This window comes from Homo sapiens, chromosome 3 (assembly GCF_000001405.40).
Source record: "Homo sapiens chromosome 3, GRCh38.p14 Primary Assembly".
NCBI lineage: Eukaryota > Metazoa > Chordata > Mammalia > Primates > Hominidae > Homo > Homo sapiens.
Window position 1 is genome coordinate 179,894,021 of NC_000003.12, and position 27,988 is coordinate 179,922,008.

Consider the following 27,988-nt stretch of genomic DNA (forward strand, 5'->3'; position numbering starts at 1 on the left):
CCTGAGTAGCTGGGACTACAGGTGCCAACCACTTCACCCGACTCTGTGACATTGTTAATTTAAAGTCATTTGTTAAATAGGCCTTTAGTCATAATCTTATAATTGAACTACTTGTTTATGGTTTTATTAGCCCTATCCAAGCTTAGAAATTTATTCGGTGTCTGTCAATATAGTGACCATACAGTGAGTGATTCATTAATATCAAAGCCAAGTCAACTGACTGTATCAATTGAAAAGATAAAGACAACTAAATCATTACCATGCAACCGCTAAAAATCCAGATTTTTAGAGCTCTGTGATCGTAACTCTGATGCCTGACAGAATTCATTTCTTCTGAGCTTATAGTACTAATGGACTGCCCCACCCCCCACTTCCTATTAGTCTTCTGGTAACGGATAATCAAGTGATAACTTTCAACTCTTTGACTTGATCTAAATCTCAACCAGCTAGCTACAACTATTTTCCTGACAGGATAGCTAGACTTTTGTAAAATGTGAATCTATTCCCAGGGAAATGAACAGATCACAGCTTGGGTAGTGCTAACAATAAATTAAGGCAGGCAGGAGAATGTAATTAAGACAATTTTTTAAGTTAGAAATGGAAACCCAAACAAGGCTGTACTTACTAGCAGCCTTGAAAATATTCTTCCAATCGAGGACATTACTTTTTTATCTTTATCAGAAACAAAAATTAAATTAATACTGAGATATAATGGGTGATGACAGATAGAAAAAACAAAGGCTGGGTTTGGAAAAAAAAGTCCCTTAACAAGAAGAGACCTGCAACACAGTTTTAAGACACTGTGTTCAACAGGCAAAGATAAATGGGCTATACCTTGCTAAAAAAGTATCTAGGAGATATGGTCAAAAACAAAACTTCTGAAGGTTCCTCAAGAGAGAAAAGTATTCACTAAAGTCATTTCATTCTCATAAAGAGAATACGTTTATTTCTATGATATAATCAATCTTCTGGCAAACGGCTTTCCCTTCTATTCTCAAATTGAATTTGTTTATACTATTACCCTTTAGAATAGAATATTCTGTTCAACAGAATTATGATGAGGGCCTCATGATTTAAAAATTTTTAGTGGCTACTTTTAAAAAAGTAAAAGAAACAAGTGAAATTAAATAAGATATTTGATTTAGCCAATATATCAAAAAATCCAAAATATTACCATTTCAACATATGATCATTATAAAAATCGTTAATGTGATAGTTTACACTTTTTTTGATTACTCTCTGAAATCTGGTGTGTATTTTATACTTGCAGCACATCTCAGTTTGGAGCAGCCACGGTTCAGGAGCCACATAAAGCTCAGTAGCTCATGGCTACTGTACTGGACAGCACAGGTCCAGAGAAACTTTTTTTCCTCAAAGACTTGATTCACATATTTTCTTCAAACCTTTCATCAACACATGCTTTTTTACATACTATTTGATTTAAGTGTTAGTCTTGGACAGCATGAACTTGAGCTTCTATGAAGTCCTTGCATATTGTTTGCTTAATATGGAATGAATGATTATTTTAAGCAAAAAACAGCAGCTGTCAGTGGTCCAGCAATTTCTGAGTTCAGGTCACCTGGCCAACACTTCAGCATTATTCAATTTGTTTGGTGTAATATAGACAGCTCCACTAGAGTATGTTTGGCTTAATTCCTCTAAAAGTTGAGGAACACACAGTAATAATCACATAATACAAAAAAGTTCTAGAATATGGGATTATTCTACACTTACAGTCTGTTGAGTGAAAAGTTATGAAATAAGATAAAAGCTCAGTGTTTCAGTGAGTTATTTTCTATTTTATGTATCGTAATTATCCCAATGACATTATTTATAGAGTAGTAATTATCTTCAGACATATCTGGAATCTATCACATGAGCATCTGGCATTGACATACCAGTGATGAAGATGAATCAATGTATTCAGCAGTATGTGGCACTATGTTATAAGGGGCTTTACAGGAGACACTGGGACAAACGTGTCAAGACAGTAGTAGTACATTCACACAAGATAACAAGTAAGAATGTGGTACGATACACGGACTAGATGCTATGGTTGTCATGGGAAGTACTCACTTTTTCAGATCATTCTGCTTCTTTTTGGTTTGTGCATGCCACTGGTGCATAGCAGGGAAGAAGCCACTTGTGTATAGTGGAAAAAGTATATCAACTAATAAAACTGCATTTGACTGAGAAATAATTGTATTACAGCTGTCACTAAATTAATTCTGTAATACTATCAACACAACAGGTGCATTAAATTTTTTGAATCAGAACTCTGTTTGCTGATTCATAAACCGGCCAGTATGCAACAAGAATATGATGCATCAGATAAAGCATTCTGTAATCTTCATGCAGTAAAGTGTAACTAATACCTCAAAAACAGTTAATGCAACATTAGACAGGGATTAAAGGAAGAACTTGGTACAAACAAATGTCCTGGATATGAGAAAATGGTAATAATCACAATTTCTTTTCTAAATTAAAAATCAAAAATGTTATTTTGCATTAAATTTTAAATGCAAGCCTAGGTTATAATGGTAATTTTGGACATGTGAAAAGATTATCAGAAAGTACACAGCAATGCGTGATTTTGTGAAAAAAGAATCTTGGGTACTGGAACCTGCCCTAGATTGTGAAGTCCTGAGGTGATATGTTACAGTACAACTGTGCCAATTGCAAATTTGGTTAGGTCTTATCTACCGTTGTATGGCTCTGCCCTTAAGCAAGAACTTCAAGTAGTTCTCACCTTCCATAGCATTCACCTGAGGGACTGTGGACTTAAAATTTTGGACATGGGAGTCTACAGAGGTCTGACTCTGATTCAGTGTAAAACTGTATATGTTTTACTATGTATATTAAGTAAAGAATGAGGAATTTGGTAAATATCAAGCAAATTTCTTTCCAATGATTACCATGTGTTATTAGGAAGTAGCATCTCTTCTTTTGGGATAAAAAAAGCTGAAAACATAAAATGTATCCCAAAGTCTTGGGAATCTTTAATAGCTTTAAAAATTATTTAATTTTGATGTTATATGTTATAATTTTTATAACTTACAACATAGTATTTAGAATAAAGTAAAACCACACATGTTGGCAGCAGCTGGGGATGAGATCCGCTGATATTCTAAAAATAAGTTGCCATAATTTAGCTTTTGATATAAATGTCTTTCATGAGGACTGTAAATGGACATTTTTCGAATTCTAGGCATGTTCATATAATCGGAACTGAATCATATAATCGGAACTGAATGGAAAAAATGAAATGTTTAAAATAATCTAATCTAAATTATAAGATAAATGCAAGTAAAAATATTTCTCATTTGCGATTTTAAAACTGGTAGTTCCACAGAGTGGTGATGAGTACATTATACATATTTATGTAGATTTTACAGGGTGTTTCAAAAGTCCCCGAGGACATATAGGATTCACAGTCTCCACATGTCTTTGCATACAAATGAAGACTTTTTTCTATACTTGTTATAATAAATGCTGAAAATGGCTCTCATGTGCTTATAATAGAGATGACATTTTTGTTCTCAAGGTCACTATGTATAAGAGGGGTCACAAATGCCATTTTCTGCATGGGGACTCAGGGACTTCTGGCTCATTCCTGTAAATTAGTTATCCACATAAATATGTATAGACATATATGTAGTATGCATAGTCACAACATAAATATATTTAACATTTAAGAAAATTTAGATATTCTACTGGTAAACTGACATATGTATACAATATAACTTGTTTTTATTCATAGGAATTTGATTTTTTTTTGTTCAAATGTACTGTTAGCTTAATTGTTATTTCTTTCCCAAAGTTTTTAACAAGACTCCTTTATAAAGAAGCAACATGTTTTACTTGCACATATATTCTCTTTCTCTTTTGTCTTAACTAAAGTTGAGTAATGAAATTAATATTCACAAATAAATAACTAGATGGTGAATTTTTCTTTTTTTAGCAATTTTGGTTTTCATCTATATTTGTATAATTGTTTCATTGAAACTGTCTTTAAAAAAATTGGTTCAAGAGTTAAAGTTTTTTTTTTCTAGTTAAAAATCACAATGTCTGATATATTAACATATGTCAGCTTCCTACAGAAACCCTATGGGTCTGCCCACCTGTGATGTCATAGTAAGGAGGGGCTTTTCTTCAGCAGACTCCTCCCTCGGTATCTCCTTCATCACCATGGCAACAGCCTTATCTGCCGCCCTAGAGCCTTTTCCCTATAACAGTGAAATCAACAATGACTGTGTCAGGAGAGATCTTTAACTTATTATTTATTACAAGATATTCTAATGTTTAAAGAGCAATCCAACATAAATGAAGAGGTAGGCTGCTGCAAGTGAATCTTGAGGCTTTTGGCTGAGGAGAAAACACACAAAATCTGAAAAAAGATTATTTGTGAACTTTTAGTTAGCTACTTTTTCCCCTTTACAGCTGACATATTACATTTAATTTTAACATAGTATTTTATATGTATAATATGTTTTAAGGAAATTAACATGACATGAATTTTTTGTAATATCAATTTAAAAACACTATGGGTTGCCTGCTACGTTCATTTATAAATTATTACTACATAATTCCTAAATATTTTGAATGACAGGAGTTTGGGATAGAGATTAGAAGCAGGATCCAACTCCCACAGAGGGCTTTTGCTGGGTGATCTCTGGAGTCTTTGCCATTTTTGAGTGGATTGGGATAAAAAGAGTAAAAATGTTGCAAAATATCTAAAAATCCTCCAGTGGCTTGACATAACAGTAATTCACCCAGTCTGTTTTGTGGAGATGGTATAAACTTCATGAAAAAAACATTTTGCAACTTTCAATGTTTTTGAGACCAAATAATTTTAATAGAGTTTTAGAAGTGTCTTTTAACTGAAGAACCCCATAAATACAGACATAAAGGATAATTAATACGTAAAGGATAATCCATAACTGACGTAAAGGATAATTAATATTGTGGCACTAATCTATATCTCTCTATATATCTATAGATACAAATGTATATGTATATATATAGATAATATGTATACAAACACATACATATCCCTATGTTATTTGTCTCAAAGAAGTAGAATTATAAACTGTAAAGGGATATGGTGGCTTTCTGTTATTTGAGTTTACCAGATTATTACATTTTTTGAGACTAGATATGGTATAATGGGAAAGCCCCCCAAAATATTACCTTTCCATCCCAATTAGAAAAATTTCATACTATGTAAAAATTAAATAATCCTTAAATACTTTAAAAACAAAAACTTCAATTTTCTCAGGTCTCTGGGTAAAGCCTCCCTGAAGAAAATAATTTTATACTAAGAAAAGATATGAATATTTGTGTTGTAAATCTACTTAAAATACAAATGTAGCAGACAGACCTATCACAGGCAGAGAAACGAAAACCGACATATGGGGGTCTAATATTGGAAAAGGGAATTAAGAGCCAGGGTTGATATTAACTCAGAACTTAATAAAGCTTGATCGTTTCCATGCAACAAAAAGGATACAATTACATCATTATCTTGTGCTTTCAAAGGGCTTTAAGTATTTAGAAGGTAGGTTTACTCTAGGGATCAAAACATTATCCATTTTCTCAGGCACTGACTTTCTAAAATGTAGCCAGAGGCAGCTTTTCTTTATGAGAACAAAGAAAAACTTTTTGTATAGCTAATAGATTTTTAAATGTGTGTATCTGTTTACAATGCTGAAAGTTTGTTTCTTTGTTTTGTTTTGACTTTATAACTAGCATTATTGAATTATAATGTGTTATTTCCAAGATGGAATATCAAATACTAGAGATTTTATTCAGCAGATATGTCAGTAGTAATTTTCATATATGTATGTGTTTTGAAAAGTTTATATGGCCACAATTCATAGAATAACTGACTTCTGGAAGAATAAAGGATAACTTGATTCATTGCATAACAAATTGAGGTGCACAATGATTCCAGGTTTCTTCTTTAATGAAGCAATGTGAACTTCCTAAAATGGAGATGCAAACAATTCTGAATTCTGGGAAAAGATTTATTATGGCACTATAACTTGTTTACATTTTATCAAAATATAAAAATTATTTGGATGAAACATCACACGCTATAAACTTAGTACATCTTTATAAGCTACACTCATTTACAGACTAAATATGGTTTATAACAAATATTTTTGCAGCTTACGTTTTTCAAGAGAGCAAAGTCATTTGTGAAGAATTCTTTCCATGCTTCAGTAAGTTCTAGTAATATAGCAATAAACAAAGTGGCATGCTTATATTTCAATTCCTATTATATTTAAAATAACAAATCTAATGTTACAAGGTATAATTTAATTTAAGAAAATAATAATTTAGATTCTTTTCTTGGGCTAAGAAAAAATGTCAATTGATAAGCATCTCAAAAAATTTCAGGTCAATTTTTCAGTACATTATTTATTTGAAATGCTACCAATCCATAAACTACATAGAGATACTTTTTTACATGTGCAACTATAATAGCTAGAGTTAGCAAGGGACATGCCATTTCACTAAAACAAAAACAAAAACAAAACAAAAATTAGTCCTTTCATGCTGAACTCTAGAACAAAGCAGTGGTCAGCTAGAAAGGATGTACAATAAATACATGCGGTGCTTTTTATTTCTTGCAGAAAAAACCCACCAAAGCCAGGGTCAGGTCACTTTTTTGAAGACAGTGCCACTTTTTCTTCAAGGTTACACCTACTACCTGAAAAGAGTCATGACACACCCATGTTAGTGCCTGCTAGCAACTTTTTTCTTTACAGCCTTTTTTGGCTTTTGCGATAATACCCCATGAGCGTCACTGTTTTACAAGTGCGGTACAGTCTGAGGACAGAATGGGAAGGTCTGCCACAATGACATCTCCATGGTACCAGATACAGTGTCTAAAACCACTGCCAAATCAAGTGAATACACTCATGTATCAATGCAAGATTTCCCCCAAATCAAATTGCCTCCTCCACCTGTTATCTTAAAATCAAGCTGTGTTATTTCTGACTTGTCTATTTATCTCGTGGGATAATGCTTCCAGAAATCAGAACCTGACTGATAATTGGCTTGGCAATTCATGGAACTTTACAAATTTGCTTATCAGCAGCTCTGCAGGGCTGATGACAATATAACTGTGCAGGTTTCTTTCTTTTTTGAAGGCAGTAGCTTAAAACATTGTAAGATATATATGTAATTGTTCAGACTTCAGACTCAATTTTCAAAAACATTGTAAGATATATATGTAATTGTTCAGACTTCAGACTCAATTTTCAAAAACATTGTAAGATATATATGTAATTGTTCAGACTTCAAACTCAGTTTTCAAAATATAACCACACCAAAGGGTCGGTTTTCATCTATTATGTGAGACAACATGAAGACAGACAAAATAAAATATACACTGAATATACATTCAAGCATATAAGCAGTTTATAAACTTTAGATAACATTAAGTCTATATGCTTCTATGCCACTCAGCAACAATGGAAAAGAATAGTGACATTTTAGAAGTTGATTATCATATTGTGGTATCCTCCAGCAATAATTTCAGCCTATTTCTTTTCAAGTAATATTTCAAAATCACTTTTTCCCACTTCCTGGTTTAATTTCTTGAAATAACGTTGACTGGAAAAACAATAACAACATTAAGGGGAAACATTTTTCTCAATGCTTTCCTGTGGAAAATTATTTGATATTTTTATTTCTTCCGTCATTTGTTTCTTCACTTAGGAAATATACAGAATGACAGCTTTCCTAACAGATAATAATTCTAGAGAATAATCTTTTTATTAGGTTCTATTATAAGAGCAGGCACAAATGGATGAAACACAGGGAGTCTAGCAGTGCCATTAACATTTATTAAGAAAACCAAGTCATGATCCACTTATTTCCGTTTTTAAAATACAGAACATAAGAAACAGCATACACAATACTGGACATCACAGGACCCTCTCCGGCTGGATACCAGGCTGTAGAACCACCAGATGCTTCAGATGAGAAAGGTTGGATCTGTTTCACAGGGAAGGGGCTAAACTGTTTCAAGAGGCGACCACGCGCTGGGCACTCTGGTAAATGTTTGACATAATTTCATTTATTTGATCTTGTGGTGGTAACTCTGTGGGGTAGATATTATCTTCCATAGATAGTTGAGGACACCAAAGCCCAGAGACAGTATGATGTGGCCAAGGCTTCAAAGCCATTCTGTGGCCGAGCCAGGACAGGAACCCAGACCTGTTTTCCAGGCTTTTCTGCTTCGTCTCTACCATACCGGTGTCTGTTCACGTGGCTTAGTGAGGCTGGAGGGCTCTCCCTGCTGCCCTCTCTGACTGCCATAAATGTCCGTTGTTCATGATCTCGCTCAGATTTGGGGCGGCAGCCACTTCTCACTATAATCACATAGGCAAACATTTTCTGAGAAATATCTTCTTTCTCTAGTCTGGAATGGTCAATAACTTCACTCACAAGCACGTTTCTAACAAAATGCTTTTGCTGCTTTTATCTTCACAGAAAAGTAACCTAAGTATTTCATATATATACAAACTTCTTTTTTATTCTGTAGATCTTAGTAGGTTTATACGCTTTAGCATCTCTCTAATTCTTATTAAATGCTAGCTAAATGCCATTAAATGCCACTTTTACTAAGACTTTCTTGAGATCCGTTTTGGTGCATAAAATACTTAAAGTATGCAATTCCACAGTTACACAGGCCACTGGTGTAGTTGCAGATTCTATTACTGCTACCAAGGAATTTGTAATTTAAAACTTATTTTCATTATTTTTAAAACTCTCAACAATTATCCAGAGTTTCTTTATCAGAGATATTAAACAGAAGAAATTGAGATAGGTTAGATTAGAGGAAAAGTAAAAGACTACAATACTAGACATCTCTGCCAACCCAAAATTATCTAACATATGAATTTTCAAAATAGCCCTCCTTTTGTTCTGATTATAAAAATTAATATACTTCTTGCCAAAAATTGATAAAAAACAGAACTAGGAAAACAAAATTAACAACTCTAATATTTTCATGAATTTTTTTAAAAAAATTATTTTATTTTATAATACCAGCAATTAAACAATTTTTTAGGCTGAATATTTAAAGAATAGACCTATTAAGATCAAGCCTACAAGTATGAATATATTGAATATATTTCTTTATGTATACATACATGTAAACAAACTCCTGCCATCTATATATTTTTGTTTGTTTGTTTGTTTTTGAGACAGTGTCTCGCTCTGTCACCCAGGCTGGAGTGCAGTGGTGTGATCTCGGTTCACTGCAACCTCAACCTCCTCGGCTCATGTGGATCCTCCCACCTCAGCTTCCTAAGTAGCTGAGACTACAGGTGTGTGCCACCACACTCTGCTAATTAATTTAAAAAAATTTTTTTCTTAGAAATGGAGTTTTACTATGCTGCCCAGGCTGGCCTCAAACTCCTGGGCTCAAGCAATCTTCCTGCCTTAGTCTTCCAGGGTTCTGGGATTACAGGTGTGAGTCACCATACCTGGCACGGTCTTTAGTTTTGCATATACTAAAAAATTCTGGACCCTGGATTAAGCACCTGCAAAAAACTAGCCACCAAAAGGCTAATTTTTGATGGTTGCTCTTGTCTGTCATGCACAGAAGCAGGATAATCTTCTTTCACTTGGCGAGCTAAATGTCAAAGTTAGTGTCGTAAGTGTCATGCTCTCTTCAAACTCCCAACACAGGAAAAGGTCAGGGCAATATTTTGCAGTGTCCTTTCCCAGTAAAGTGTGCTCCTGTAGATTTCTTCCAACACAAATTAGGGTTCAGGACATGTTGGTTCTGTCTTATTTCCTTCCCAACAGAATGTTTTGTAAGTTTTAAAAGTGGTACAAATAGCTAAATTTTGACATACTGGTCAATCCTTGTTTCTAAACATTCTGAAAGAAGCACAGATCTAGGTGTAAACAACTGGGAAGCATGGACAGAATTTGCTTGTCTTAAATAGAGATTCATATGTGGAATTTACAATCCATGATGAATTTACCATTGGTTCAGTGATCTGTTTGCAGCTGGAAAATGTGATTTACAATTCCTTAATCAGGGTAGTCAAGTTGCAGAAAAGAAATTGGTGCCTATCTATTTAATATAATGACACAGGGTATTGAAAAGAAAGATTTCCAGTTGACCCTTTATGTATTTCTCCCTTACTGTCTCTTTTTCCCCTCCAGCATTGCTTTCTCCATGCAACAGGTGCACATTTCTTCAGCCATCATCTTTTCTAGGAAGTCTTCTGGGATTAATGAGGAGTTACACTAATTACATTCTATTATATAACTCCTGGACCTTCCATTTGTGTTTTGTGTTAATTGACACTATTTGTTTTACCCAGACTGGGAATGTGATCAAGTGGGGGAAGGGAGCAGGTGGGAGAAAGTCATGGATACCAATCTCTACGGTCTTTGATTCTAAGCCTCCACTTATGAACATTACTGGAATTCCATGGCCACCATATGTATACTCACTTTCCTTGGTCTGAATGATTGGAGCAGGGTGAGATTATGACTTTCATGGGCCCTAGGCACTTTTGGCTTCACGAGCTACTGCCTTAAAAAAATCATATTCTATTACTACATTGGGATAAAGACAAAAATAATCCAGACTGTACTTATTATTACATATTAATTGTTACAAAATAGTCCATTTTGGGGGGTTCTGATTTTAAGGGAGAGTGAAGTTAAATCATTTTCGTGGGTGCTTAACAGTATTATGGGCCCTATGCACTGTGTCCACTGTGCCAAGTGGATAAATTGGCCCTTCTCCTTCTGAGTTGGGGTCGTCTCCTCGACAGTCAGTGTGCTTTCCCTACTGCTGCTGTGCTGTCCCTGGAGTGGCTGTCCTGGTTGTCTCTGGGTGATCTATGCTGCTTCCACCCTCCTGCATGCCCATCATGGCTCTTCCTGCCCTAATAGCCCCTTTGGCTACTGCTGCTGGCCTCACTGTTTTTGTTAAGGAAATCTTTCCTAACAGTACTCACAAGCCTTTGAAACAATTTTTTTTAAATTGACAAACAATAATTGCATGTGCTCAAACAGCAGCTTTCATCTTGTAGTTCTTAAAACACACTCTCTAAAAGCCTGGACCCTTTAGACCTGAGGCAGAAAGCATTGGCAAGTAATATCCATGCTTACTCTAAATGTAACCCCTCCACCAGACAACAGGCCTCAGCCTGCCTCAGGGTGGACTCCTGACCATCCAGGGGCACTTCTGAGGAAGTTGAGTCAATCTGTGTCCTTTTTTTTTTTTTGAGATGGAGTCTCGCTCTGTCGCCCAGGCTGGAGTGCAGTGGCGCGATCTTGGCTCACTGCAAGCTCTGCCTCCCAGGTTCAAGCCATTCTCCTGCCTCAGTCTCCCGAGTAGCTGGAACTACAGGCGCCCGCCACCACGCCCGGCTAATTTTTTTGTGTTTTTAGTAGAGACGGGGTTTCACCGTGTTAGCCAGGATGGTCTCGTGATCCGCCCGCCTCGACCTCCCAAAGTGCTGGGATTACAGGCGTGAGCCACCGCGCCCCGCCAATCTGTGTCCTTTTTTTGTGGTGGTTGTTAAAAATTTAGTCTATTAGTCTTTAAAAACCAGAGTCACTGATTGGCTCCAAAGAAGTTCTTGCCATTTTTTTTTTTCCTGACGATGCAGTTGGTCACTTGAGGAACAGAACTGTCCAATACCCCAAATTTCTGAGTTGTGCCTGCAGACTAAGCTCCTCCTTGGGACCTTGTTATTATCTTTTATTTTGTAAACTATTCCTTGGCTGTGTCTCACTAATGAAACTGCCTTATGAGAGCAAAGATTGTGTTAATATCTTCTGAACCATTTCCACATTGTTTGGTATAGTCCTCTATGGGCACATAAACGCTCAAGTGCACTCAATAAATATATGTACTGGATATCTTTTTCAAATTATTTCATACTGAAATTACATTATATGGCCAACTTTGATAGAAGGTGATTTTGAATTAGATGAAAAGTTTTAATTAGACTTTTAAGGAAATAAAATAGTTTCAAGCACCTAAATAAAAATTCATTAAAATTAATAAGATGTTGCCGGGTAAAGATGCTTAAAACTTGCTCCGAAGGACAGATAAGGCTTTATTTTTAATTAATAATATCCCTTTGTCCACAAACAATTTACCATTTGTTTGTTCTTTTGAGAGGATTAAACATTCCCCCATCTCACTCTTACCATGTCCCAGGACTTATTTACCCTCTTTGTTTTCCAAGCAATCTTACCACAATGGTCAAGGCAATAGCACTTGATCTTCATTCATGTATAGCTGGCTTTGAATCAGTAAAGTTTTAATATCAGGCTTCCTCTGATGAATGTGGTTCTAAGTTACTAGAGATTATTTTATCCTAAGGATGAGCATCTCTATTATACACCTGCAAGCAACTTTTCCTATCTAGGGTGGTCTATCTTAAAAACATTTTTTTCTTTTGCCTTTGGCCTTACATTGAGGCTGGCATAAATAATACATATTTCATAATTAATAAGTAAATGTAGAAAGATATGTTGTTTTATTTTTTATATGATAAATCCCAAATTTGTTATAGTTTGAGAGGCCTTTGAGGATTGTGTGAAATATGTAACAAAAAATGTAATACCAATTAAAGGGTTATTGGTATTATTTTTCAATTCCTTGTCAAATATCTCAGATCATTTGCAAACAGGCATTTTTTTTGGTGTTATTTTTAAGTAAAGGAAAATGACTAAAATACAAAGATATAAAAATTACTTTTTCTAAAAATTCTGCCCTGCCTCCCCAAATATAAGAACTCTAGACTGTTTGTACCTTACTTGCACAAATGGAGGGACATCTTAACATTCAAGAGAAAGTAAAGCATGAGAATCATTCATCATCAACATAGGTAGTTGCTTAGACTATGCTGAAGCAATGGTGTTTTGGGCATAGAGGGAGGTGAGACATAGCCTCTTTTGGAAAGGAAGTAGGGAAAGAGGTCTTGAGGCCTGGTTTCTCAGTGTATTTTATGATTGGAAAGTATTCCAAAGTAAATATAATAAACAAGATTCCCTGCAGGTAAATATGGGGTCAAGACAATGAAAATGTTCCCTTGGATTCATATGATTACCTTTGGAATTCTTTTACTTATCAGGGATTAGATGTATTTCCCCAATTTCTTGCCTCTAGTAAATAAAATATATATACCAAATTAAAAAAAAAAGTCACAAGGAAGAATTTCATCCTCCTACTAAATTGGAGGCCATTAAATGTTGAAGGTCATTATCTTGGAGCAAGAAGATTAAATTCTCCTTTTTTTTCTTTGTTTTAGTTTTGAGATGGGGTCTCTGTTGCCCAGGCTGAAGTTCAGTGGCGCAATCATAGCTCACTGTAAACTTGAGCTCTTGTACTCAAGTGATCCTCCTGCCTCAGCCTTCTGAGTAGCTATGACTACAGGTGTGCACCACCGTGTTTGGCTAATTTTTAATTTTTTTGGTAGAGGTGGAGTCTCGCTATGTTGCCCAGGCTGGTCTCAAACTCCTGGCCTCAAGTGATCCTCCTGTCTTGGCCTCTCATTGTGCTGAGATTACAGGCATGAGCCATCATGTCTCGTCTTCCCTCCTTTTTTTAAAGATGAAAAAAACTGTATGTTAAATATTGTTACTAAATTATTGAATCTAAGAGCAAACTTATCCAGATGTCATAAGGTAGAATTATACTATATCATTTTTATTCCAGAGGAAGGCAATTAACTAGTGAATTGGAATTCACCCCCTTTATGAATGTTTAAGGCACATTCTACTGCTAATTGCTGAGCCAGAATTGTAGACTCAAGTTGAAGCCTGACTATTCAGTAGCCTTCTCTGTGGCTTTCCCCATTTTCTGGCAGGTGCAAGTGTTTTTATCAGCTGGTTCCCCAGTCACCAAATGTCCGAGTTTTGTTGATATAACTTAAGAAAGTAAACTACAGAAACTAGGCCAAGTTTACAAGCTACTAGCCAAGAAGGTCTGCAGCTAAGGTACTCCATCTGCCTGTCTTCCCTGAAACAGCTCCAAGAGAGAAGCTGAGACTTTGGGAATTCCTATTCTAAAATTGTGGAATTGACTCTGGCACCTCTGCTTATCCACATTTCTCTGGGGGTCATTGGCAACGTGTGGGTTGGCTCCTCATAATGCTCTTGGGTTCCTTAAAAGCAGATGAATAATAGTCTCTCACTTTGTGGAGAAGAGTTAGGAAAAGTATAGAAAGATCTTAAAGCTGCAAGCCACAGTCAGCGTGTAGCTGGGGGTGGTCAAGGTGATTACCAGCTAATGGAGCCAGTGGAGCCTAAGTGGTCAGTGGAGGAGAAAGTAGGAAGGCCACGTGGCATGTTGGCACCAACACCCAGACTGGAGTCAGAAGAGAGGAGTTTCAATCCCAGCTCTGCCTTTTATAAACTCTTCTCTCTAAACTTCTGTTTTATCTTTTTTTATTTTATTATTGTTATACTTTAAGTTTTAGGGTACATGTGCACAACGTGCAGGTTTGTCACATATGTATACATGTGCCATGTTGGTGTGCTGCACCCCTTAACTCATCATTTACATTAGGTATATCTCCTAATGCTATCCCTCCCCCCTCCCCCTACTCCATGACAAGCCCCAGTGTGTGATATTCCCCTTCCTGTGTCCATGTGTTCTCATTGTTCAATTCCCACCTATGAGTGAGAATATGTGGTGTTTGGTTTTTTGTCCTTGCGATAGTTTGCTGAGAATGATGATTTCCAGCTTCATCCATGTCCCTACAAAGGACGTGAACTCATCATTTTTTATGGCTGCATAGTATTCCATGGTGTATATGTGCCACATTTTCTTTATCCAGTCTATCATTGTTGGACATTTGGGTTGGCTGTTTTATCTTTTGAAAATAGGATGGCATTACTGTCTACTTCATAGATTTTTGAGAATTACATGAAATAGTACACATGAAAGCACCTTCCATAATGCCCAGCACATAGTAGGTACTGAAATATGAATTGACTATGAACTATGACTGCTAAGCTCATGGGCTCTGTTGGCTTAATTGTCTCTATGAGACAGGTGGCAAAGTATGCAATCTTTTGCTTGTATTCATCCATGGAATAAGTGGCAATGGTTCTCCTAGTCTTACTGTTGCAGAGCATTCTATCATCTGAATGTACCACAATTTACCCATTTAACTGTTGATGGATATTTGAGTTCTTCCAGTTTAGGGCAATTATAGAGAACACTGCAATGAACTTGAATTTAGAAGCCACAGGGGACCTAAGAAGACCAAATAAAATAAACTGAAAAATAGATGTGAAAAGAGCAGAGAGACTTAAATATCAGCAATAGAAGCAGCAAATAATGAATGTACAGAGAAAATGCGTTATCCATGAGCAAATTAAGAGGAAGTCTGAGTCTCTGTAGCCAAGTTGAGATGACTTAAGTCAAAGCAAAGACAAGTGTTGAGATGACTTAAATTAAAAGAGACTAATAGGGTACAGAGATCAAGGAGCAGAAGCAAGACCAGGATGCTGAATGTAGCCACAAGCAGATAATAACAAACCAGTTTCTAATGATTTGGGATTAATAACTGTCAGGAGCTGAGTTGTGTACTCCCAAAATCATAGGTTTTCCTATCTCATAGATACTAAGCCCCAGTATTTAAGACTGTGACTGTGTTTGGAAACAGGGTTGTTAAAGAGGTAATTAAGTTAAAAGGAAGTCATTGGAGTGGGTCCTAATCCAATATGACTGGTATTCTTATAAGAAAAGGAAATTAAGACACAGACATTCACAGAGGGAAGACCATGTGAAGACACAGGGAGAAGACATCCACTGACAGCCAAGGAGGGAGGCCTCTGAAGAAACCAACCCTGCCCACACCTTGATCTCAAGCCTTCAGCCTCCAGAAACGGGAGAAAATAAAATAAATTTCTATGGCTTAAGCCACCAATCTGTGGTACTTTGTCATGGAAGCCCTAGTAAACTAAACAGTAATAGAACAACCACCCATGAATGACTACGAAGCGGTCTTACTCTTACATCTCTGTTTAGAAAAATCCAGAAAGAATTCACTAACAATGTTACTTTAAGCCTTCTTAGCTAATTCCTTTTGTGGTTTCTAGTCTGTTCAAAAGGACTTCATAGGGATTGAAAACCAGAAATTTGGAAGCCTTGGCCTCCTACAACATGCCATGACCTGACTGTCAAGGAGAATTGCCCAAAATAAATGTAAATGAAGATTGTACCTCAAGTGGTCATTCAGTGCCAGCAGAGCTGTGCTTTCTCTCACCAAATGGAGGCTTTAGTCACATGACCTCAAATTACAGTTTTGAACTGCTTGAAAACAATTTTCTTGTGAAAAAGCAAATTTCTTTTGATTTCTAAATGTGAATGCTCCAAGGAAGCTATTTGTTTCCAGCTAAAAGTTTATTAAATTATATACACTTAGAGGCTTCTATTAGTTAATATAGACATTAGTCAAGATATATAGTTGATATGTATGTAAACAGAAAACAAATTAAAAAAAGAACATTTGGAAAATAATCCTGTACCACTGATAGTTTTTAAATTTTATTTGAAGAAAGCTCTTGCCAGTATCTCTGTAGCATATTCTGGGGTAGGGCTTACACCTTGTCTCTGCTGTCAGACACAGCCTGACTCGTTTCAACTTATAAATGAAGACATTAGCTTAGATGATATCCATGGGGGACTTTAGATGAGTTAGAACCCTGGGAGTGGCAGAATATTTTAATAAAGCCAGTTTCCCTTTTTCTAATCACCATAAATGTATAATTCACCTTTCTATGGGTATGCAGATGATGTACAAGTTCATTTAACTTTTCTGTCAAACTTTCTGGTTATAATCACAGTATGGATTCATTTCAAATGTAGAACACCTCTTATAAATGTCAATACACGTATGAAGTTTGCTCTTGGAGCTACCATTTAAGCACTTATTAAAAGAAAAAAAACCCTCTCAATTCTCTTCCCCACCATACTTATTGACATTCATGAAGATGAGAGGCTAGCCTAGGAGTACAACCAGGTAGCGCACTCCAGACAGAAAAATTCCAGTGGTTTTGAAGCCAGTGTCTGGGCTGTGCTTAGACTCAAGTCCCACAATCTATATTCCATATTTCTGTTCTTAGAGGTTTGCTTTAACTGACAAAACAGAAGGGGAAGAAAACAGTTGTCAAGTGCCTGCCTTTTCTCGTGTGTTATTCTGTTTGCTTATCAATTCCAAGCTGCTGAGGGATACCCTAGCCCAGTGGAATGTGGCAACATAGCTTTATATGTGTGCTTGCTGAGGTTAGGCGGGGTTTCTGTTGATAGAACATGGGACATGGTGCAGGGAAACAAGGAGTTTGAGACTCAGAAACAATAATACTTTCTTGTGTGATCTCGGGCAGAGATCTTTTTTTTCTCTAAGTTGGAGAGTGCCAATGATACTAATAACTGCCTTACTGACATGGCAGAGTTTTTGTGAGGATAAACTAGGTAATATATGTAAAAGTAAGAATTCAATACGCTCTAATAATATTATAAATCAGCAAAATCCTGTTAGCTGAGTAAATTATTTTCCATGTCTATTTGGGAGTCCATAGAATCTGAAAGGACTATTTATAATTTGAAATAGTAACTTGATAATGCTACACTATAATGAAAAAGTTAATGGACTTCTCCTAACAATAGAAATCCAAAGCAAGTCTGGATCTGGTCCATTATAGTTGCAGTTGCAAGACTCCAAGGTACCGTAAGATTGCTAATGAATTCACAGACTGTTTTATGTGCTCTAGGATTGACAAATATAGAACCATGTTAGGAAATCTATCCAACCACAGTTATATAATCACAACAAAAAAGATGACTTTCAACTTTCAAAGTCTAAGAAAGGATTCAAAATAGAAGACTTTAAGACTGCTGGAATAGTTCAAGCAATTCCAAAACTATATATTTTTACTAATTAGTACACTGGTTTGTCTGATGAATTATAAATAGGCATCACATATCTTGTTTCCAATTTGGAAAGACTAGAACACTTTGGTGGACTGTTTAGTTCATAAAGGTATTGGATCATTTCTACTCTTTACTGGGCATGAAACATGATTGCCTGTATCTCTCTATCTCCTATACTGGAAATATGCCCATACTCTGTGTCTCAAGCCATTGTTAATGGAAGAGTAATTTGATAATATTGGTTTCAAGTTGCTTAAAAGTTTTTCTCAATCTGCTATAAATGGACTCCCCACTAACCCCTACATTTTCTTCTTTCTAACTCTCAGATATATATCAAAAGAGACTAAATTAACATTTAAAAGTGATTTGGCCTGAACTCAGTTCAATCTGCTAAATAATGAATTATGGCCTTTTGGGTCCAAAGATAAAAGCAACTACATGATACTGATGTTTTATGAGACAGGTTGAAATTGATACTAATTCTAGGTAGATGTTATATGTACAAAAAATTAATCCTTTAAGTTTAAGATCCTAGTTATTCTTACATAAGCATATGCTATTTATTTAAATTAAACTTTTAAAAGGTTCTCAGAAAGCAGAAGAGGTTTTAGGTCCTCCACTGAAGCTATTCCTATAAACACTGAATTGAAGAAAGCTCAGAATGGTTTTAGCCTATTAGAATTTATGTTTGAAAATTTAGAATTGGTCGAATCTCCACTCCCCTATTAACAATATCACAATATTTTCTTTTAGTCACATATAACCTGTTCAAGTGCAATAAGACAAAAAACCTGATTAACTAGCATTCCCAATTATTTTTTCCAAAAAATTTCATGTTTAGGAAAAAATGACAAGCAAACCAGCTCGTTTAAAGGATTCTAAAGATTCCAAGTTATGGTCCACAGTCAATATATATTCAGCCCCAACTCTGACAACTATATCTAAGGAAACATCCATTAAGGAAAGATAAGTGGGTAACAGCCCTCAGGCCTGTCATATCCTCATCCTTCAAAGAAAAAATTAGGTTTAGCATATTGTATTTAGTAATGTAGAATGAAGTATTCACACATGTTAGAAAGACTTGCTAGTAAGAAAAGGTGTTTTGTTCCCTTTAGTCAGTCTTGAAGAGATGAAAATTTTCAGCTAATTAGAATAGCCAAATGCCTTTGAGTGTTCTCATTAATCAAAATTGTATGGTATTTCTTCTGCTAGACTTCCAAACACAGAGACTTGCTTTTAATTTCTTATACTTAACAGCTGATTTTCTCAGAATGTTGCCACCAAGGTCATGGAAGGAAGTTATTTCAAAGGCTTACTTTTCCTTAGGCCATCACAGTTACTTTAGGTATAAATTATATGTCTATGGGTAATTTATTCAATGATATAAAAACATAGACACATTTTCTGGTTTTGTTTCCATTTATAATAAACTTCTTTAAAGATCTTATTGCAAATTATTTTAAGAGATTTTAAGTTTCAGTAAAAACTTAACCTAATCTGTTGTAGGGCTTTTTATATTTAAGTCATCAAGATTTAAAAATTGCAGACATGTTTTTTCTTTTTTTCTCAAGAACTTAAAACAATTTGCTCAGTAGGCTTAGAGTTTGAGCTTTTCTTTGAAAAGTGAAAATAAAGATGTTTGCATTTTTCCTCATTAAAAGTTGCTTATTTTCTTAGAGAATATTTAATTGGAAATAGAAATGTATTTCTTGCATTTGGATATTTTAATATCATAGCGTTTTTTGCTACAAGAATAAAACAAAAACTATGTCACAGTAAGCAAAGAAAGTGACTGACAGTTTTTGCAAGAACTTAACTTGGATTCGTGTATTACAGAATTCATTGTCTAGCTAGGACTCTTAATTAGTACCATAGAATTTTATTAATTTTTTTCAGCTTAGAGTCTGTGAATGTTAATTATTTTATTTTTAAGTTATATCATATCATGTTAACATTTTTATCTCTTTCTCCTTTTCTAAAATGAGCCATGAAATTATATACTTTAGAACTCTAGGATCTTTTATAAATATGATTTCTCTGTATATGATATTTGTGACTGCACAGGCAAGAGGAAGGACTGATAAAAATACACCAACTGAATTTTTCTTTGACTAACAGAGATTGATGTTTTAGATAGCAGACATCTCCTTAGGTGCAAACATGGCTCTTAGAATGTCAGTCTTATTACAGGGTGCCAAAGTTCCACAGAGGATAGTCCAAACTGTAAGAGTTGCCTGGCATCATGGAATGTTCTTGAGGAAAGGGACTCTTGGAGCCCTTTTCTCTGCTTTGATGTGCAGGCTCTTCTTCCAACACTTCCTCCCCGACAGCACTACACTAGCCAGCTATACTACACTACTCACCATTACACATTAAGTCTCTAGAGGTCCAAGTTACTGTGCTCTGTCTGCAGAGGCTGTTTCCTTCACTTGGAATTCCCTTCTCGTCATCTTTACTTGGTGAATTCCATGTATTCTTCTAGATTCAGCACAATCACCACTTTTTTTTAATGGAGGTCTACACTATGATTTTCTTAAAGTTGGATATTGGTTCTCATTCTGTTTTGTGTTGCCACAGTCATGTGGGCACAAAGGTGTTAAATGAAGGCTTACTGGATGGATGAATGAAGGCATGAATGGATTGATAGGTGATATATCTGCCTAAGACTCTTTGAGGTTTCTTCCAAAGTCAGGTTACAGAATGATAAAACCATCTCCTTCCCAAACCTCTCCACCAACATCCGAGGCAAAGACAAGGGATGGTGATGGCTCCTGGCTAAGAATTTAAAGGAGTTCTCCTCAGTGATAATTTCAAAACTTTTGATCTCTGTAGCTAAAAGAAAGGTTGTTATGAATTTATGGCTCAGCCATGGGACATTTTTATAATTTCTGCAAAGCCTTTGCAGTGATAGTGAAAATCATATTTACTTTAAATTAAAATATAGTAGCAGTTTAGACAGGGAGAAAGGAAAGAAAGAAGATTGGCTAAAAAAAAATCCTCTACATTATCTAATTAAATGAAATAATTTAATTTAAACACCTTCTATAAGATGCAGCCTTTTTGCTTGTGATTGAGAATGGAGCCAAGTTTTGCACTCAGATTGACAAGGTGTGGAATAAGGAGACAAGGAAGTGATTCCTTTGTATGCTTTGCTCAGTGTCATACATATAAAGCCAAGAAAAGCACCTGACACAGAGTAGGTACTCAAATATTTGTTGAATGATTTTTTAAAAATCCACAAAAAACTTTGATATAGCAGAAGCAGGAGCTCAGAACCAGAGAAGTTAGCATCCCCAGAATCCATAGAAATCTTGTGAGGCAGTGCTGGGATGGGAGGTTTTGAATTTTACCGTGCAGTAGTGCTTTGAGTCAATCTTGTCTGGATCTGAAGATGTGGGGAGACCTAGCTGGCATAGAGATTAAATAAAATAAAAGAGAAGAAACTATAACTTTAATCGAACATGCCTTAAGGAAGAACTAGTACATTCGTATTCAGTGATATTGAAACCAACACAAATTACCTTAGTGATGAGAGATGTGCAGAAAAGTCACTCAATTTTGAAGATTACTGGAAAAAGTTGAAAATTGCAGTGATGTATTATGTGAAAATAGAGTGCTTATGTGTTCTGCCAGGAGGAAGGTAGAGAGCATTTTCTGACTTTCTGAATTAAACAATTTCCTGAACAATCTGAGAAAAAAGGAGGCACAGGGAGCGTGTTTATAAAGGTCACCCCTGGAGAAGATGGCTGTGTATGAGATGTATTCTCTACTTTGAAGCCTCCAGGAATAGAGCACTTCTTTATTTGGTGTGTGACAGTGAATATAACAATTTCTGCTTCTAAAGAAACTACTCAGAACTGCAAACTTATTTGAAGAGTGTGATGGTCCAAAGAAGAGATGGGCATCAGAGCATCCAGTTAATAAAAATAACTACCAAAATAGTATTCAGCATGTTACAAAGTTTCCAGTTGAATCTCACAAACACCTCTTTGAGTGGATACAATTATATCCTCATTTCACAAAAGAGATACTTGAAGCTCAGAGAGAATAACTTAAATCAAAGCCAGTAGCCTAGTAATAGCAGCAGTAGTAGTAATGGTAGTAGTAATAATAATCACTTATTGAGCATCTAAAATATGCCAGGTGTTGTGCCATATACTTCATACATATATATTTTGATAGTACAGTCATGCATTGCTTTATGACAGGGATACAGTCTGAGAAAAGCACTATTAAACAATTTGATTGTCGTGTGGACACTATAGAGTGTACTTACCAAAACCCAGATGATATAGCCTCATACACATCTAAGCTATATGGTATAACCTATTGCTCTTAGACTCCAAACTCATATAGCACGTAACTGTACTGAATACTGTTTGCAATTATAACACAATGGTTAAGCATTTGTGTATCCAAACATATCTAAATGTAGAAAATGTAGAGTAAAAATATAATATAAAAAATAAAAAAATGGTATACCAATATAGGGTACTTACCATGAATGAAACTTGCAGGATTGCAAGCTGCTCTGGGTGAGTCAATGAGTCTGAAGGCCTGAGACATTACTGTATACTACTGTAGACTTTATAAACACTGTACCCTTAGGCTGCACTAAATTTATACAAAAAATTTTTCTTTCCTCAATAATTAAATTAAGCTTAGCTTACTGTAACTGCTGTACTTTATAAGTTTTTAAATTAACCACCCCCCCTTTGTTTTTGAGACAGCGTCTCGTTTTGTCACTGAGGCTGGAGTGCAGTGACATGATCTCGGCTCACTGCAACCTCTGCCTCCTAAGTTCAAGTGATTCTCCCACCTCAGCCTCCTGAGCGGCTAGGATTACAGGTGCACACCACCACTCCCGGTGAATTTTTGTATTTTTAGTTGAGATGGAGTTTCACCATGTTGGCCAGGCTGGTCTCGAACTTCTGACCTCAGGTGATCCACCCGCCTCGGCCTCCTAAAGTGCTGGGATTACAGGAGTGAACCACCATGCCCGACCTAAAAAATCCCTTTTTGATCCTTTTGTAATAACACTTAGCTTAAAATACAAACACATTGTATGGCTGTAAAAAAATATATTTTCTGTGTATCCTTATTCTATAAGGTTTTTTCTATTTTTAGATTTCTTTCTTTTTCTTTTTTCCTTTTTAAAAATCTTGTTAAAAACTAAGACACAAACACATTCATTAGCCTAGGCCTACACAGGGTCAGGATCTTCAGTGTCACTCTCTTCCACCTCCACATCTTGTCCCACTGGAAAGTCTTCTGGGGCAATAACATGCATGGATCTGTCATCTATGATAAAAATGTCTTCTTCGGGAATCCTTCCTTACAGACCTGCCTAAGGCTGTTTTACAGCTAACTTTTTTTTTTTTTTAAAATAAGCTGAAGGAGTATACTCTAAAATAATGATAAAATGTATAGTTAAGTAAATATATAAACCAGCAACATAGTTGTTTATTATCATGATCAAGTATTATGTGCTGTACATTATTGCAGGTGCTATACTTATACATCTGGCAGCACAGTAATTTGTCTTCACCGGCATCACCACAGACAAGGGAGTAATGCATTGAGCTATGACATTAGCACTGCTATGATGTCACTAGGTGATAGGAATTTTTCAGTTCCATTAAAATCTCATGGGACCACTGTCGTATATGTGGTCTGTTGTTGACTGAAACGTCTTTTTTTTTTGAGACGGAGTTTTGCTTTTTGAGACGGAGTTGCCCAGGCTGGAGTGCAATGGCATGATCTCGGCTCACCGCAACATCCGCCTCCTGGGTTCAAGCGATTCTCCTGCCTCAGTCTCCTGAGTAGCTGGGATTACAGGCATGGGCCACCATTCTTGGCTAATTTTGTATTTTTAGTAGAGACAGGGCTTCTCCATGTTGGTCAGACTGGTCTTGAACTCCCGACCTCAGGTGATCCACCTGCCTCGGCCTCCCAAAGTGCTGGGATTAAAGGTGTGAGCCACTGCGCCTGGCCTTGAAACGTCTTTATGTGGAGCATGACTGGACCTAAATTACAACTCTTTGAGGTATATGCTTTCATTATGACCATTTTAAAGATGCAGAAACTGAGACACAGAGAGGTTACCTGGGAAGAACTAGTAAGTGTTAGAGTGGGGACAAAGTCCAGGGTCTGGCCTCAGGGTCTGTGCTTTTAACTACTATGTTTTATTGCCTCTCATTAGAGCTGGATTAGAAGCCAAGTTTGTGCATTCTTGGGCCCATGTTGTCAGCCATGACCCTCTACTATCGCTAGGTTCTACTTGGTGGTACTTCACAATTTCCACTGTCATCTATCTTCTCCTTGAGCAAAAGCATACGGATTCCAAGTAGCAAAATCTGGATACATTCATATTTTTATATAGGTCACACATTTGGTGGGTATAGTAAAATCCAGGATTTGGGGATAGGTACGTCTGACTTTCAAATTTATGCTCTTTCTTCTAGAAGGCACTGTGATAGCTCTATGTTAAAATAAAATTCTTGAAGACATTGTGGCACAGTAGCTTTTTTAAGCGTCACTGAAGTGGCTCATCAGTAAAACTCCCTTTCTACCTCCCTCTGGACCAAGGGGGCAAAAAGCCTAAGTTTCAGTCCTAGTACTTCCACTTAGAAGGGTGTGGCAAGGTTGCCTTTCTGAGCTTCTCTGTTCTTATCTGTTAAAATGGGAATAATGACACCCATTTCACAGTGTTGTAGCCAAAGAACCCAGTGCAGGAAGTTAATATTGTGGGCATTTGAGAATCATTAATTTCTTCTTCTTTCTTCTTTTTTTCTTCTTTCTCCCTCATCTCTCCCTCATCTTGGGCAAGACAGCAAATACCATGAATTTTCAATGGTATAAGTGCTATGCTACAATTGGTGTGTATCTGTGGATACTCCTGTGACACATCCACAGACAGCAGAGAATAAAAGAAAAGGGTTCTTACGGAATGAAAAGATAAGATTTTTTCAGAGTCCTCAAGTTCTACTCAATTCTCCAATGTACTGTATATCTCAGGCCAGCTTAAGGACAGCTGTGGATTTGGAAGAACATTCCACAGGTTCTAGGGCTTGGTCAAGTACTATTTCATTCTATGCTCTAGTGGCTTCACATCTGTACATCCTGGATTGTTTTTTGTGTACATCAGTTATCAGTAAAGTGGAAAAGCAAGGTCAGGGAAGTAACAAGACACTGCCAAACTCTTTATGTGGGAGATCAAATGGAATCCTTGAAACACTCCAGCAAAGTAGGTTCTAATACTTCCTTTAATAATACTTAAGTTAAAGTGGCAGTGGTGAGATTTGAATCTGGGTTTGCTTAACTTTGAAGCTGGAGATCTTCCCACTACCACAGCAAGCAGCCTCTCTCTAGGTACTTGATAAGTATGTATGAGCTAAATAGAAATCACTTTTAGGCTTGTGAAAACCTTTCCCAGACTTACTCCTTGTTAGGGGCTCGTTCTTGCATTTTGGCAAATGACTAGGGGCTCTTTCACAGGCATCGCTGGGTCACGCTTGATGGAACTCTGGCTCCATTCTGCTTAGGAATGCAGGGTCAGAGCTTAGTAGAATTTTTTCTTCCCCCTCGAGTAATTCGTCTGCAAATAGGTTAGGCTGCCATTGGGTCAGCAGTCGATGTGCCTTGAGTAGGTGGTCATGATCTGGACATACAAGCAGGCACTTCCACACTCAACTCTATCTTTGTGGTAAGAAGAGAAAAACCCAAAACAAATTAAAAACAAGTAACTGTTTTTTCTGAGATGAAGTCTTGCACTGTCACCCAGGCTGGAGTGCAGTGGCGCGATCTCAGCTCACTGCAACCTCTGCCTCCCGGGTTCAAGCGATTCTACTGCCTCAGCCTCCCGAGTAGCTGGGATTATAGGTGTGTGCCACCATGCTCAGCTAATTTTTGTATTTTTAGTAGAGATGGGGTTTCACCATGTTGGCCAAGCTGGTCTCGAACTCCTGACCTCAAGTGATGCACCTGCCTCAGACTCCCAAAGTGTTGAGATTACAGGCATGAGCCACTGAGCTTGGTCAACTTTTTAAAGATAGTAGTTAAGTTTAGAAGTGCTTGCCTTTCTTAACTCTGTGCAGAGACACCTGGCAAAATGTCCATTAGAAAAACAACAAGAAGGAGGTGTTCCTTCAGGCTCCCTGCTCTCACATTTATTCTCTGGAGGCAAAACCAAGTGGAGTGGAAAGAGGGAGCCTCACAGTTCTGATCTGAGTGGAACCTCCATTATGTCTGTCTGTCATCTCTCTTCCCAATCAGAACCAGCGTGCTCCCTTCCAGGTGGTTTCTCCTTTCTTCATCCTGCTCTTTTTAGAGGGAAATATACTCAAGTTTCTTTCTTTCCCTTCTCAATTTCTTCTTGATTGAGTTGGGTTGGGCCTTTTGTAAAATCAAATTTGTGTGTAAGCATCCATCCCTCAGCTTTAAGTGAGGATCTGAAACATCTATTTTTGTGATGCAGAGTTTAAATCAGAAGCATTTGAAAAAAATATTTTATGTTATGAAGTGGGAAAAGGGATAGGCATTAACAGATAACCTGTTATATAACAGGTTAACAGGTGAACCTTACGTGTTTGATCTCCTCGCAAAAATCTTACAAAATAAAGGTATTATCCTGTTCTATTTTAGAAAAAGGAGATCTGTTCAGAGAGGTTAAACTATATTCCCAAGATCACTGGTAGAATACATATCTATTCTCAAGACACGCCTTAGTAAACTTTTCACATCTTTACAAACTTAAGCTCCATAAGTACAGAAGCCATATTAATTTTGTTCAATATGGAATCCCCATCATCTAAAAGACTCCTTGGCACTTAATAAATGCTCGGAAAGTATTTTTGAATGAATTTAATTGTACCTTGCTACATAATGGATATAAGTTAACTTTAAAAATTAATAAAATAGAAAAAGGAAACACAATGTATACACAGTATAATATATACACAGTATTTTTTACACAGTATAAAATCAAAGGAGAAAACAATGAAGTCCCATTTTCCTAAGCCCCTTACTATTAACTAGGGACACTGAACCCTAATCAATTACACAGTTTTTTGGTTTTCTTAAGATAGGAAGCAAACCAATTGCTCAAGACACATACAGCTCTTCCAGAAATAAATCTTCTAGGAAATTGTACCCTAAAAGGTGGTACTTGGTAACATAATGGATGAAGTCCTAAAAATATCTTTAAGGGAGGCATGGTAATAAATGGGATTTTTTAGGACTCTAGTCCTAAAAATTTGGACTTTCCACATTGGGTAATGTGGAAAGACACAGTAAGCCAAAAGCATCACATCAGCCAAAAGTATCTCTTTCCACATTAGCCAATAGCATGTCACACTAGAGCACAATACAACAAACATCATCATGTAAATCAAACAGGTGCTTAAGGAACTCGCAGAATGAAGGCTTTTCCTTAAAGAATCAGTCTGTGCAAGTAGTTCCTATCTTTCTGATGCTGGCAACTCACATTTGAACTAAATCACAAATGTATTCTGTTCAATTATTTGCTTGGAGTTCATCTGAAGTTTTTCGTGTCTAACCTCTTGATCTTTATGACTATTCTTCCAGTACTTTGCAACCTACCAAGTATCATCACAAGAGCTATGAAAGTGAAGAGAGACATACGTTATCTAAGAATCTGAGAGAGATGACTCAGTCAGCATCCTCTCTCTTGGTGTACAATGGTAGGGACAGCTACTGTGTCATCTGGAGCATGACAATGAGAACACAGACACTGGATCGTCCTGATATAGCCTGCAGTCCATCTGGGCCTCTAGACATTCATTTGCATTTGCATTCATGCGCATCCCCTACTACTCCAACTCCTACACCTTTTGGCAGGATATATCCACACAGCTGGATTGGAATCACAAGATGTTTTTATTTTTTGCCTCATTAAACTAGTTTCTCTCAAGCAATGTGTGTTTTCTTTATATTCCAGCCCAGAAATCATTTAACAGGAAGAAGGCATCTCAGAGATGTGCTTCAGAAAAGGCTTATGAATGGGACACAAAAACATATTGCATT

General features: G+C 36.5%; 1 protein-coding gene and 1 long non-coding RNA gene across 41 annotated transcripts in view; one reads left to right on the plus strand and one right to left on the minus strand.

Moving 5' to 3' along the window:
- PEX5L (peroxisomal biogenesis factor 5 like) overlaps positions 1 to 27,988 on the minus strand; it is a 241,980-nt gene that overhangs the window by 99,063 nt on the left and 114,929 nt on the right. For 15 of the 38 annotated variants that reach the window (NM_001349399.2, NM_001349398.2, NM_001256751.2 and 12 more), the window contains one exon: positions 4,122 to 4,226. The exons of 15 other annotated variants lie outside the window; for them this stretch is intronic. Coding sequence is in view for 19 of the 23 variants with exons in the window: in NM_001349398.2 (NP_001336327.1) it covers positions 4,122 to 4,226 (105 nt within the window). In the remaining 4 variants the exon portion in view is untranslated. Of the gene's footprint in view, positions 1 to 625; positions 673 to 1,432; positions 1,732 to 2,076; positions 2,916 to 4,121; positions 4,227 to 6,649; positions 6,716 to 27,988 lie in introns of those variants that run through there. 8 more of the 38 variants (NM_001349396.2, NM_001256750.2, NM_001349389.2 and 5 more) reach the window with 3 other exon arrangements.
- Positions 4,174 to 27,879, plus strand: PEX5L-AS2 (PEX5L antisense RNA 2). Of its 3 annotated transcripts, NR_110061.1 has the most exons (4): positions 5,517 to 5,557; positions 6,171 to 6,224; positions 7,906 to 8,066; positions 27,530 to 27,879. It is a non-coding gene; the product is annotated as a PEX5L antisense RNA 2 (long non-coding RNA). The 3 variants fall into 3 exon arrangements; NR_110059.1 differs by lacking the exons at positions 5,517 to 5,557; positions 6,171 to 6,224 and adding an exon at positions 4,174 to 4,331; NR_110060.1 differs by lacking the exon at positions 6,171 to 6,224.